A 15161-nucleotide genomic window follows, 5' to 3' on the forward strand; every position below is an offset into this window, starting at 1 on the left:
TGTGACTCCAATCCTCGTGGCTCTGTGACTTGCCTCCAATTGCTGTTGGCAGCCCTTACGTGTACATAGCCATGGGAAAGGCTGCAGTGGGGGCCGCAGAGCCATTGGCTCAGGCCTCACTTTGTGGGATCATCTTATTCTGGTACAGTTTGAGTTTCTGCAAGTCACCAAGGCCTTAGCTAGACACTCAGAGAGGATGAAACTGTGCTCGTGCTAAGTAATGGATTTAATTAAGTTTTTGTGCTTCCTCTGAGCCCTGTTTCAAAAATTTTACATGTATTAACTAATTCAGTATTCCTCACAACCCTACGAGACAGGCACTAATATTAGCTTAATAAGTAATTTGCCCATGGCTAAGACTACTAAATGGCAGGGTTAGGATTTAAACCTAGCCATTGTCCCTTTCCTTGTTACAGTGAGAAATAACTAGGAAGATATGAACTAGTGTTTGACAATTAAAACCCGTTTCAGTAAAGAAACGTATGTGGGAGAAAGGGTGAGGTGGGGAGAAGGGGACATTCTATAGTAGCAAGAATCTCAGCTTTGACATTGTTCTTAAAATGAAGAAAACAAGTCATCTTAGTTCATAGGCAGAGGTAAGTTTTCAAGGTCCAGTCATGCTAATTTCTCCTTGTAAAAAAAAATCAATAAAACTATTAAATGAGTGTTTAGTGTTTAATAATTTTGAATTAATGCCCTGTGACCACTTCTTGGTGTTCAATGGCCCTGACAGTTTGGGTGACTAGCTGGGGAACTGTGACTGCATGTTAGGGTTAGGTACATGCTTCATGCATGGGAGAAAGTTCAACTGTCCCTAAAAGCAGTCCCATAAGTATGCTGCAGAAAATTTCACCAGTTTGACCACTCAGGTATCCATTATTCTTTTGCTTATGTTTAGTAAACTGGAAAGAAGAAAGAAGGCAAACTTGGAGAAAAATTAAAAAGCAAATGGAAACTTACATAGATTTCTTATAGAAAAAGAAGGAAAGCATCAGAAGAGCAACAGTGGGAATGATTCTCCCCGCTCTCGTTTGCCTCCCCAGCCTCCCCAGCAACGCATAGGTCCATTTTGATTATACCAGATATTCTGATTGAGCACTGTGCCCTGTCTTTCTTTCCACTTACCCTGTAGAATACTCTTTTTTTTTTTTGAGATGGAGTCTCACTCTGTCACCCAGGCTGGAGTGCAGTAGCATTATCTCGGCTCACTGCAACCTCCACCTCCCAGGTTCAAGAGATTCTCCTGCCTCAGCCTCCTGAGTACCTGGCATTACAGGCATGTGCCACCATGCCCGGCCAATTTTTTTTGTATAAATTTTAGTAGAGTTGGGGTTTCACCATGTTGGCCAGGCTGGTCTTGAACTCCTGGCCTCAAGTGATCCATCTGCCTCAGCATCCCAAAATGCTGGGATTACTGGAGTGAGCCACTGTGCCTGGCCCTGTAGGATACTTTTAATAGTGAAACTTTCCATTGTGTTTTTTTTTTGTTTTTTTGTTTTTTTTGAGACAGAGTCTTGCTCTGTTGCCCAGGCTGGAGTGCAGTGGCGTGATATCGGCTCACTGCAACCTCTGCCTCCCAGGTTCATGTCATTCTCCTGCCTCAGCCTCCAGAGTAGCTGGGACTACAGGCACCCACGACCATGCCTGGCTAATTTTTTAGTAGAGACGGGGTTTCACAGTGTTAGCCAGGATGGTCTCGATCTCCTGACCTCGTGATCTGCCCACCTCGGCCTCCCAAAGTGCTAGGATTACAGGCATGAGCCACCACGCCCGGCTCCATTGTTTTCTTTTTGTGTAGATTCTCCTCTTTCTCATTTGGTGAAAACTTACACTGGAAATCATTTTAGTTCCAAATTAAAATCCTACCTCTTCATGAAGATTTGCTGATTATCTTCAATTGTAAGAGATTTTCTACTCTTCTGAACCCCACTCATATTTCATTTATACCAATTGTGCAGCATTTAACAAAGTCTGCTTTTTACGTTTATTTGCACAGGTTGCACAACTGGCTTTGAAGTACAGAGTGGTGGTAGTTATGGTATTTGCATGCCTGGCCTGTTGGGACTGTCAGTGTTAGCGTCCTGTCCCTTCCCACTCCTCCCCACCAGTTGCCCACCCACAACTTCACAGGGCGATGAGTACATGGCTCAGCTCATTGTAATCTTCACTGGTATCAATTTATCAACTTTGCAAGGAAGAGGCTCTCTTTCTGTTGAGGTTGCTAACCTGAAAATATGTGAGCATGGAGCTACTGGCAGCCGTTTGTCAGCCCTTGCATAAAGCTCATCTGAGAAAGGTGCCAATCAAAGAGAAACAGAGTCAAGAGAAAAGGCAGACTGAGCCCTGAACTCCAGGAGTAAGGCTTGCCTGGAGTGAGTTTCCCTGTATAATACTTCCCATTTACCTTAGTCATATTTTTCTACTTTTTTGCTTACAATCATTTGTGTTATGTTTTCAGTTTTATCAAGAGTCCTAAGTAATAAACTGACAAATTTGTAAGTAATTTAAGATCAAGATTCAGATGTGATTTATCTCTTTTCATCTTTGATATAGACAACTGGAAAAGTGAATGAATTAATGAAGGAGTGGTGCTTCAGAAAACTGTCTTTAATTCTCCCAATTGCATGCACTGGGAAAATCCAAGATCTTGCTTTCTGCTCCAGCCAATTGAGCTTATATTTGTGATTCCTCAGCTTAGTATTTATTTACATAGGAATCTAGACTGTTTGTTGGACACTCTCCCTTCTGACATGTTTTCCAGAGTGATACTTTATCTATTGAATATAAAAGAACAAGCAGTTCAGCTGCTCTGTTCAAGCCCCAGGTGTAGAGAGGAAAATGCTGGATTTTTTTTTTTTTTTTTTTTTTTTGAGACGGAGTCTCGCTCTGTCGCCCAGGCTGGAGTGCAGTGGCGGGATCTCGGCTCACTGCAAGCTCCGCCTCCCGGGTTCACGCCATTCTCCTGCCTCAGCCTCCCAAGTAGCTGGGACTACAGGCGCCCGCCACTACGCCCGGCTAATTTTTTGTATTTTAGTAGAGACGGGGTTTCACCGTTTTAGCCGGGATGGTCTCGATCTCCTGACCTCGTGATCCGCCCGCCTCGGCCTCCCAAAGTGCTGGGATTACAGGCGTGAGCCACAAAATGCTGGATTGTAAACAGGTCGATAGATGTTAAGTCAGAGGGGCTCTGATGCATTTTGTGCACACTGCACACACATTTCAAGGACTCACATGTATTATGCTTCTATCATTTAATTTTTCCTGGTTTCTATGATTAAATCTTTATAGCATTTTTCTACTTTTTAATTCTTTATTCTAGCTTTATGAGATATATTTCACATATCATAAAATTCACCCAATTAAAGTATATCGTTCAGTAGGTTTTAGTATATTCAGTGTTATGCAGCTATCACCACTATCTACTTTCTGGACATCTCATGATTCCCAAAAGAAACTCCATACATATTAGCATTCATTTCCTGTCCCTGAACAATCCCACTCCCTGGCAACTACTGATCTGCTTTCTGTCTGTTTGGATTTGCCTGTGGTAGACACTGCACAGACAGAATCTTATCAGTCTTTTGTGTCTGACTTCTTTCACTTATCACGGTGTGTCAAGGTTCATCCATGTTGTAGCATGTATCAATACTTCATTATTTTTTATTGGCTAATATTTCATTGTATATGTATACTACTTTTTGTTTATACATTTATCAGTTGATGGACATTTATATTGTTTGCACATTTTGCTATTATGGGTAATGTTTCTACAAATACTCATGTACAAGTCTTTGCATAAGCATTTCTTTTGGGTGTACACCAAGGAATGGAATTACTGAGTACTATGGTAATCATATTCTTCACTTTTTGAGGAAGTGCCAACTGTTTTCCAAAGGTGCTGCACCTTTTTACTTACACTAGCAATGTATGAGGGTTTCCACTTTTTCTGCATCTTCACCAACAATTGCTAATATCTTTATTACTGTAATCATTCTGGTGGATGTGAAGTAGTATCTCATTTTGGCTCCTATTTACATTTCTGTAATGACTAATAATGTTCAGCATATTTTAATTTGTTTATTCGCTGTTTTTTTTTTGTTTTGTTTTGTTTTTTTTGAGACAGAGTTTCGCTCATGTTGCCCAGGCTGGAGTGGAATGGCATGATCTTGCCTCACTGCAATCTCCACCTCCCGGGTTGAAGCAATTCTCCTGCCTCAGTCTCCCGAGTAGCTGGGATTACAGGCATGCGTCACCACACCCAGCTAATTTTGTATTTTTAGTAGAGACGGCATTTCTCCATGTTGGTCAGGCTGGTCTTGAACTTCTGACCTCAGGTGATCCGCTGCCTTGACCTCCCAATGTGCTGGGATTATAGGTGTGAGCCACCACGCCCCGCCTATTGGCTGTTTTTATATTATCTTTGGAAAAATACCCATTCAAATCTCTCACTGATTTATTCCTTGGGCTATTTGATCTTTTTATTGTTGAGTTCAAAGAAGTCTTTATATATTCTGGATACAGGTACCTTGGCAGATATAACATATTCAAATGTCAAGTATTTTCTCCCTTTCTGTGGGTCGTCTTTTCACTTTCTTAATGATGTCCTTTGATAAACAAGTTTTTATTTTAATGAATTCCATTTCATGTATTTTTTATTTTGTCTTTTGTGCTTTAATTGTCATTTCTAAGAAACCATGGAGTAACCCAAGGTGGTGAAGATTTCAGGAATTTCTTAACTGTAGTAAATGGTCTGTGGAGGTAGTTGTTCACAGACGTCTGATGAGGCCTTTTTATCTTTCCAGGGGGATCTGGCTGAGACATGATTTAAGTAACAGCTATTCATTTGGAGGAGGCTGTTGCAAGGATCTCATGCACAAGAAGCTTGGGGGTCTCCCAAGATTTAAAAAATTTTTCTTTACACAGCTCTTGATGTAATTGCACACATCACAGGCTGTGACACTCAGGGCATTCTCTCAATCACCTACACGTTTCTTCAATAACACACATACCTTCTCCCCAAGGTATAACCCCTGGGTCTGGGGCAGTTGTGGCATAGAGATGTACTTGTCTTGCTGGTGCCCAAGACCATGATTCTGTCTTTAAGTTCCCACAATAAATCAGCCTTTACTGACAAACTGGATGTCTGCCTCCATTTTTTGGTTTCTTGATTCTTTCAGCATTTGGGGGCAGCTTTGCATATACAGCCTTTCCATGGGATAAATCCCACATTGAAAGTGGCATATTAAAATCTCCAATTAATAAACCTGTGATGTTTTTGTCTTCGATTCTTTCAGGTTTTTCAGTATGTATTTTGGTGCACTGCTGTTAGGTGAATATATTTTTATAATCATATCTTCCTGATGAATTTATGGTATTATATAAAATATCCTTCCTTATATCTAGTAATGACTTTTCTTGTAAAGTCTATTTTGTCTGATATCAGTATTATTATTCCAGCTCTCTTTTGGTTACTGTTTGCTTGATGCATCTTTTTCAATTTTTGTACTTTTAATCAGTTTCTGTTTTTGAATTTAAACTATATCACTTGTAGACAACATAGAGCTGTAACATTTTTTGAAAATCCATTCTTCCAATCTCTGCCTGTTGATTGGAGTGTTTAGTCCATTTACATTTAATGTGATTATTGATAATGGAGGATTTACAGCTGCTATTTTTCTATTGATATTTGTTTTCTATTGGACTATGTTTCTTCTTATTCCTGTCTTTCAAAAATATTAAATGGATATAATCCAGTTTATTTTTAATTTCCTTTTTCTTTTAGTCCATATTTTTAGTAACTTCCTTAATGGTTGTTCTAGAGGTTTCAGTTAGCATCTTAATTAATGCAATCTAGTTGAGAATATTACTAACTTAATTTTACAGTGTATAAAAATCATTTTGCTCTAATATAATTTCATTCTTTTATCCCTGTTTTGTATGATTATACAAGCTATATCTTTATATGTTACAAGATTATCAATACAAATATATAATCTTCCTTTATGTTGTTGTCTTTTAAAATAGGAAAAGAAAAGAGTGACAAACAAAAAATACACTTTTATTGTCTTTCATAGTACCTATATGGTTAGCTTTACTGGTGCTCTCACATCATCATGTGGATTCGAGTTACCATCTAGTGTTCTTTTATTTCATCCTGAAAGTCTCCTTTAACTATTTTGTAGAGCAGGTCTGCTAGCTATGAATTCTGTTTTTGATAATTTAGAAATGTCCTAACTTTCACTTCTGAAGCAGAGTTTAACTGTATATAGAATTTTGAGCTGACAGTCTCTTTTTTAACACTTTGAAACTTTGACAATGTCATTACTTAGTTTTCTGGCTTACATGCTTTCTGATGACAATTCAGCTATTAATTTTATTAAGGCTCTCTTTTATGTAGTAAGGTTTTCTCCTACTGCTGTTTTTAAGATTTTTCTCTTTGTCTTTTTGCCATCTTGGATACGATATGTCATAGGCGTTGATCTCTTTGAATTTATTCTATCTGGAGTTCATTAAACTTTTTGAATGTATAGATTCCTATTTTCTTTAAATTTAGGAAGGTTTTGGCTATTTTCTCAAATTTTTTAATCCTTTCTTTGTTTTTCTTCTATTTCTGGAAATTCCATTATACATAGTTTGGTACACTTAATGGTGTTTTTCAGTTCCCTAAGGTTTGTTTATTTTTCTTTCTTTTGTTTTTCTTCATGCTCATCAGATTGAGTAGTCCCTATTGACATATCTTCATATTTAATGATTCTTTCTTATTCCAGCTGAAATCTGTTGTTGAACCTTTCTATTAAAATTTTTACTTCAGTTGTACTTTTCAACTTTATAATTTCTTTTTGGTTCTTTTAAGATAATTTTTTTCTTTATTAATATTTTCTCTTTAATGAGACATCATTGTCACTCTTTCCCTGAATTCTTTAGACATGGTTTCCTTTAGTATACATATATTGATAATAGTTGATTTAATGTCTTTGTAAACTACGTTCATGCTTAAAGTTTCCATATGAAATGTGGTGTTTGCTGCTTTTTCTTTGTGCATGTGGCTTACTTTACCATTTGTTTGCATGTTAATATATATTTTTTGAGTTCTGGTCATTAATGTATTGTGACAATATTTCTGTCTCACAAAGATGTATTGTGTTCCTATTTTTATGTTGTCATTTTAGGTTTTCTTTTTGCTTCTTATTTGCTTGTGACTTTCATGGAGTCATTCTGTACATTCTGCCTGTCCTGCTGTGTGTGTCTACTTAGTTCTCTACTAGCTTCTTAATAAATGTTTTTGTCTTTATTTTTAAGCTTGGCTTTCTGAGAGTAAGCCCTTGATGATTATAACCTCGTGGTCAATTATGGGCCAGAAGATTTCTTTAAATGAGTTTCCTATATGTCTCCCACTTTTTATTTTTTGGCATCAGTTTACAAGATAACCTTAGCTTTTACTTCCTGTTTGATCATGGCCTTAAGGCCAAGAAGAGATGAGTGACCATTGACTTTTCCTTCCTCAGGTGTTTGCTGTGAATGCACACAGCATTGCACATGTTCTGTCTTTCAGATTCCTAGGAATATGTAGGAGCTTTCAAAGTTCCTCAGTCTGATCCCTGTACCCCTGCTGAGCTGAGCCTGCATCAAATCAAATAGCTACCACATCCTGAGAATACCCACTTTCTAGGAATCTACAAGTTTGTGCAGGAGTTTGACTGTACTTTAGGGATGGTGCTTTTCACAAAATTTCAAAAGTAATCAGATTTCTCTGTTGTCTGCAATTTGCCTGCTTTTGGTTACGGAGCTCCTGAGCAGGGGAGGGAGAGAAGATGCAGATAGCCCCAAGTTAAAATGTTACGGAGTATGCTGTCTTATTGAAATTCACTAGGTATCTTGGGTAGATGATTCTCAGTTCATTTTGCAGCTTTGGTTAATTGCCTGCATTCTGCAGTGGTTTATTTCTGTTTTGTTTTGTTTTGTTTTGTTTTGTTTTTTGTCTATACTGCCATAGTTTTAGACGGAGAGTGAATTCATAGAGGTGGTCACTGGGCCATTCCAGAAGTTGATTGCTGCTTTTTGTTTCTTGATTATGTATTTTTCCTTATACAGTTATCAAACTCTTTTTCTATCTGTTTAGTATTTTCCAAGATAATAATCATATCATGAACTTATAATCCTTTGTATTTTCCTCTTATTATAGTGCATATAGTAAATATTCAACAAATAATTGAAGGTTGCTATATGATATGTTGCCAGATGTTCTACAGGGAGGAAAATCACGCATGATTGAGAACTACTGATATACAATTATTTCATTTAATCCCTGCCACAATTCTTTTAGGAAAGTGTTATCATCTCCATTTTACAGTGGCCTAGAGAGCTGCATATTTACCTTACTAAAGTTACACAGCTAGTTAAGTGACAAAGGTTGATTTTAAATCTAGCCTTCTCTGACTCCAAGGCCAATCTTAGTTATAGTTTATAAATTAAGAGGAAGGACTTCGTTATTTTTATTTTTTAAATTATGACACACCTTTGATCTTGTCAGTATTCCAGGACATTACATTTTATTTGTTCTATAATTTTGGCAGTAGTTTTTGGATTAAAGTATTATACATTCTTATGAGGTTTTAGGGCTCCAATTAATTGCGCATTCAGCCATGAATACTAGGTTATCTTAGCCCTTTTTTTTTTCCAATGCAATGACCTTGAACTCAGTATGACTGAGTTTGTGGGATGTAGGGTGCTCACACTGCAAGAATTGGTAATATTATTCTTCTATACTTTCCTTCTGCTCTAACAATAAGTTCTCAAAGGAGGCTAGCTTTGAGTTGTGCACACTCACCTACATCCTGTTTGTCTTGTCAATAGAATACATGGAGTGCATGGAAATGCCCCAGGCAGGCTTCCTTACATCCTGTTGCCAAGGCAACAATGCCATGATTCCCCACGTTCTATGTCTAAGATAGCAGCAGGCCAGCACACACAGAAACTCCACACGCCCACCTGTGTCTTACTATCTTGGGAGAGCATAAGAAAAACTGTGCTTGAGTTGGTCTTGGCTAGGATTCTTTATGATTAAGATTTTACTCAGACAATGGGTGAACCTTTGATGCTTTTTTTCATACAAAGTTCTATCTACAAAATCGTGTCCGATAAACCACGTAGCTGCTAGAGGGCTCCTTGGAGTCCTAGAACATGTATTGGAACCCTGATTTTGTCACTAATGCGTATCCAAGTCTTGAACAAGATCTCAATAACTCTTTACAAGCCTCAGTTTTCCCTTATGAGGGAAATGGAATAAACCTCAATTACATCATTGAATAGTTCTAGAAATGAAAAGAATGAATAGCCCTCAAATCATTTCATAAGTGATAGTTATTCAGATGCTAATTTTAATTGTTTTAAACCCCATGCTTCTTTTCTGATATCACTTTATCCCCATGTGAAGAAATTAATCAGTGACAAGGAAGAAAAGATGTTGAGCTGTTTAAGGTCAGGAATCATATTTATAAGGAGGGTAAGGTGGTTCCTTGACTAATGATGATTAGTGCATGGATGTGACTTCTCTAAGCTCATAGTCACTGCCACTTAGAGACCAGGCTCAGAAGGACTCACTAGTGAATACTGTAGTAGTGAACACTGTATATTCTTCTTGTCTTCAGGATATCTCAGAAGCAGTCCCCAATTTTCAATGAAAGTTTTGTCTCTATAAATATAAGCATTTATGGTAGATTTGTTTGTCATTTTTGTAAGGTTTATATGTGTGTTTAAAGTCCTGTCATTTTGATGTACATTAATATTTTATTCAATTAGATGAAGGATGAGCTATATTTTATGAATAATCTTTGACAAATATACACACACAGCTGTGTTTAGCCTCAGCACTACACATTGTAATTGAAGTAAAAAATAAAGGCTCACATACTAGGAAGCAAAGAGTAGCTCCAGCTTTCACCTTTGCACCTTCTAAACCATTTCAGCCTGTTAAAAGCAGGTTAGAAACGGTTTTAATTTGAGTCAGTATGAATCACTTGTAGAAATTGACATAGTATATTGAGAAACAAGATAGTGGGTCTGAGCAATGAGATATTTTCACTGTATCCTTGGAAACTATGCACATATCATTCTCAACATTCTCAAGCAAGGTTCCAGTCCCTTTCTGACTTTAAACTAATTTTTCTTTAATTTACATTTGGAATTTATAAATTCAAAATGTTCACAATTGCAGAGGACATATAGAAATAATTAGTCATATTATATATGACTCCTTTTGAATTCATCACTTGCATATAAACACATAAATGCTTGCTTTGTCCATCTCATAAACTATGAAATGATAGAGACCATTGTAAGTTCACTCAACTTAATGTCTAGACCTACATCAGATATAGATAAACAAGCATTCAATAACTTTTTATTATGAATGAGAGCAGCACTACCTCTGTTTTTGAAACAGAGCTTTCATTGCCTAGATTAAAAGTAGGCACCTTGGCTGGGTGCGGTGGTCACACCTGTAATCCCAGCACTTTGGGAGGCTGAGGCGGGCGGATCACCAGGTCAGGAGATCAAGACCATCCTGGCTAACACGGTGAAACCCCGTCTCTACAAAAAGAAAAAAAATTAGCCGGGCGTGGTGGCGGGCGCCTGTAGTCCCAGCTACTCGGGAGGCTGAGGCAGGAGAATGGCGTGGACCCGGGAGGCGGAGCTTGCAGTGAGCCGAGATCGCGCCACTGCACTCCAGCCTGGGCAACAAAGCAAGACTCCATTTCAAAAAAAAAAAAAAGTAGGCGCCTAATAAGCATTTCTGAATAAAAAGTTAAGGCACAAATTAAAAGGCATCCACAGAACAAAAATACTGGATCACTGCACAAACAATAGCACAGACATTTCTTTATTAGTGATTTGCAGTTGCCTGTGTGTATCAGCAGGAAAAGGTCATCTTAAATCCATAAAGAAATGAAGATTCTCATAAAGTCTACTTTCCCAATATATGTAGATCTGAGAACTTGATCTACAGTGATTTAAATGTTAATATTGTGGTATTGCTTTTAAGTCAGAAATTTAATCAAAATATCAACATATGTGTGTAAAAATATGTATATTTACTTTCAACACCTTAACAGCAGGGATAATATTTGGCTTCACATTTTTCTCTTATATTGTCCAACAAGAAACCTCATTATTTTTTATCAGGGAGCTGGCAGCTAGTCATCAATTTCAACTAATCAAGATGCTTCAAGTAGTCTGGAACGTTTTTGCATTATTAAGTGCTTTAGCAGCACTTGGGACTTTTACTCTGCTATCCTCAGAATGATTTAGCATTATTATTTTTGAATAGATTCCCACGTGTTCACCTCTTTCAACTGAAAGTCCCTTGGTAGGGAAAAGAGCCACACAAACCACTTCCTTCTGACCCCATCAAGCAGCCAGATCCAGAATCACAGTAGCATCTAAAATAAGTCCACTTATGTCCATCCACAAAGAACAAATTGTTGTGGCCTAAAGGATTTTCATTGAGTAAATACTAAAACACTACATAGAATCCACTTTCCCATGACATCACATTTCCATCCCCTCTAGTTAATTAATGTCTGTTGATAGGTTGTGTTTTATACATTCGGATAGAACATATACACCATTGAAGGTTTTTTCCAGAAGCTTGCCTTTGAAGTACTTGATCCATGTACATCGTATCTCTAGCAAGATGGACTGTACAATGATATTCTGGTCATTGTAAATTTAGCTTAAAATCTTAATTCATTTAAAGCAGATCTTCCAGGAAGGACAATTTCTTTCTTATTGTCTGAGCGGGATAATTCTGATTCTCTCAACCTAGTTAAGGATAGTTATTTGTCCAAAGCAGCATGTTAAGGCAAGTATTAAGTGAGAATAAGGGAATTTTTAATGAATGGAAGATAAAAACTTATCCAAGCTGAGTGACTGTGAAATGGAGAGAACTTTAGAGTCCTAAGTGAAAACAGGTTATTATACATTAGAGGATTGTAAGAGGCTCACTCTGTTGAATGTCATGGTGATATTGAAACAGAAATCAAATATTAAAAAATACACAAAAATAGGCTTGCTCTATTTAAGAAAACTATAAAATCATAGATCATGGTATTTACTAGTTTCATATGACATGCCTCAGAAGACATTACTCCAAATTATAGCTCCTTGGCATACTGAGCAGTTTAAGCTGAAGGAAATTGAGAAAAACCACAGAAGCATGAAGGTCACTCTCTGATATGCTTCTGCCCTTCTCCCCTGAAGGAGATGATAAGACCCTCATTACCACCTTTATCTCTGAAGACACAGGGATATAGACAAGAATCTGTAAACACAAGCGTGGCTAAGTCGCCCTCCCCAAGTTTATTACCATTAGTTAAAACTCCTGTCCTCCAATCATACTTCTGCATGACTGTCCATGAAAATACATAGATCTTCTCATAAAACAGGCCTGGCACGGTGGCTCACACCTGTAATCCCAGCAGTTTGGGAAGCTGAGGCAGGTGGATCACCTGGGGTCAGGAGTTAGAGACCAGCCTGATCAACATGGTGAAACTCCATCCCTACTAAAAATACAAAAATTAGCTGTGTATAGTGGAACGTGCCTGTAATCCCAGCTACTCGGGAGTCTGAGGCAGGAGAATCACTTGAACCTGGGTGTCAGCAGTTGCAGTGAGCTGAGATTGCGCCATTGCACTCCAGCCTTGGTGACAGAGCGAGACTCCGTCTCAGGAAAAAAACCAAACTTTTGTTAAATGCATTTGTATACTTTTGTTAATGTGTCTTTTGTTACCGGAGCCTCAGCTTGCAATCTTGCAATGGGTGAAGAAAAAATAACATTTTTTCTCCCCTATACTAGAATGCATGGCTTCATCAAGGCAGACACTTTTATTTGTTGGAAGCACCACTGTATCCTTGCCCAGAGCCTTCCTCTAGGACTGGTGGCTCGCTGTAAAGATAGAGAAAGTAAGGTAGAGGAGATCAGGTCAGCAAAACTGGTCTACGATGGCTGTGTTGCTGATGAGGTAAATTTGTCTCCTGTATCTTATTCCTGTAGGTTGTTACAATCAAATTCCTTCTGTGGGGGCCAAGGGGAAAGGTTCACTAAAAAACCAACTTGCAAAAGGCAGGTTAATAGGAGAAAAGGCACAAATATTTATTTGGCGTGTATACACGGGAGCCTTCAGAATGAAGATAGATACTGGGGAAAATTGTTCATTTTTCTGGTTGTATTCAACAAAATATGGATAGCTGTGTAGAAATATGATTGGACAAAAAGAGTATGATCTAATGTTAATAGACTGAGTGAGGAACCGGGCAAGTCCTCTTTCCAGATTCTTCTTGGTGTCTCTGAGCATGCATTCCTTCCTTCTGGGTGTCAGCATGACCCTGTCTGGAATGGGGGCATTATGACCTACAATCAAACAAGATAGGTCAGATAATTTCTTTATGGCCAGTTTTTACAGAGAATATTTTTAGGTTTTATTTCTGGCTTTTGAGAAAAGGGTTCTGGTTTTTATGACCCACTTTCAGGAAGAATGATTCTCGTTTCTATGGCTAGCCTCTGGGGAGAATGGGCCCGAGAGACGAGAGGACAGGAAAAGGTCAGAGAAGAACTTTTGCTTGTGAGACTGCTGCTGAGGCTTTCATTTTGGGGAATTGTTTTCTGATCCCTAACTCTTCACTGCACGTGATTGTAAATATTCCTTATCAGACCAGTACATGAACCAGAGATTTCTATGTTGGGATTGAGAGGGTAAGGTACTTTGAAAGAAAAAGCACAAACTTGGAGAAAGAAATCTGTTTCTAAATTTGCCCTCAGCCCTTTTCTGGAAATCACCAAAAATGAATCTCTAGATGAATGGTGTCCAATAGAATTTTTCTGACCATGAAAATGTTCTATAATATGTACTGCTCTGTAGCTGCATATTAGACTTAAACTGACGGATCACTTGAAATATAACTAATGTAACTGAGAAACTGAATTTTCAATTTTAGTTACGGTTAATTAATTTGAACTTAAATAGCCACATGTGGCTAGTGGCTACTGTGTAGGACAGCACAGATCTCCATCTATGTTACCTGAAGTGGTGTGTTTATTGCTGGGGTGGAGGACAGGGGGTCAGGACAGTAGAGTACTTTCTGCTAATTGGTGCCGGGGTCAAAGAGGGCTGGTGCTGGGTCACAACACAGTACATAGCTTTTTGGAATGGATATTCTTTCAAATAAGGAAGTTGTGTTTTCTTTTACAAGAAGAAAGCAAAATCAATCTTTCCCTTATCACATAGTGGCAGGTCATTATACAGAACCCAAAGGAGGCTATAACAAATCGAGGGTTCCCAGAAGTGCATTTAGTAAGAGAAAACAATGAAGGTTTGTGATGTTTCAGATGAAAAGGGAGTGTTTGGCTTTCTTTGTCAAAAATAGCACTTAGATTTGGAACCATACCTTTGACCTTCAGATCTGATAAGGAAGATAAGAGGAATTTATTGCTAAACCTCAGATCTGTCAAGTCAGGGTCAGATGAAACATTGCATTCCTCTCTGATAAAGAAAAAAGCATTTGCAGAAAAAAGGGCCAGCTCCATTAGACCACACATGGAGATGGAGATGGGAAGAATTTCAAGCAGCATGCTGAGAGGAAGATAGGAGACCAAGTAGGGGGAAAATGAGCAATAGTTGGTTTACGTTTGTGCAAAGGAAATAAGAAATAAAATTAAGATTTTTGTATTTTTGTTTAGAACATGTCCCCAGAAAATATGGTTTCTCATCAATCACGCTGTTTGGAGTGAACAGAAGTACCCCTTCTGAAGGGAAATTTGGCAGTAATTACTCAAGAACCATTCAAATATGTAAATTTTGACTGAGCAATTCAATTTTTAGAAGGATATCATAGGAAATAATCTTAACTATGCAATGATACAGCTAAAGTCAGCTGAAGCAGCAGTTATTGCAACATTAATTATGGACAAAAATAATAATTGAATGTCTATCAGCAGAAGGTTGTCTGGTTAAATTATATTACTTCTGTACAAAGGAACATTATGCAATCAGAAAACATGTTGGGAGAGGCCTTTAAACATGTAACAATTTAATATTATATGCATACATACTGTTTTTCTTCATCAGTATTTTAAAAATATTCTTCATTACATTTCAAATTTTCTTAAA

General features: G+C 37.8%; 1 annotated feature.

Moving 5' to 3' along the window:
• Positions 13626 to 14825: an enhancer, noted in NCBI's record as "BRD4-independent group 4 enhancer chr11:106332263-106333462 (GRCh37/hg19 assembly coordinates)". NCBI's record gives its function as "activates an origin of replication core promoter dependent on BRD2, P300/CBP, MED14 and CDK7 cofactors, and independent of BRD4, by STARR-seq in HCT116 cells {active_cell/tissue: HCT116}" and the evidence as "EXISTENCE:reporter gene assay evidence [ECO:0000049][PMID:35650434]".

This window comes from Homo sapiens, chromosome 11 (assembly GCF_000001405.40).
Source record: "Homo sapiens chromosome 11, GRCh38.p14 Primary Assembly".
In the NCBI taxonomy this organism is placed as follows: domain Eukaryota; kingdom Metazoa; phylum Chordata; class Mammalia; order Primates; family Hominidae; genus Homo; species Homo sapiens.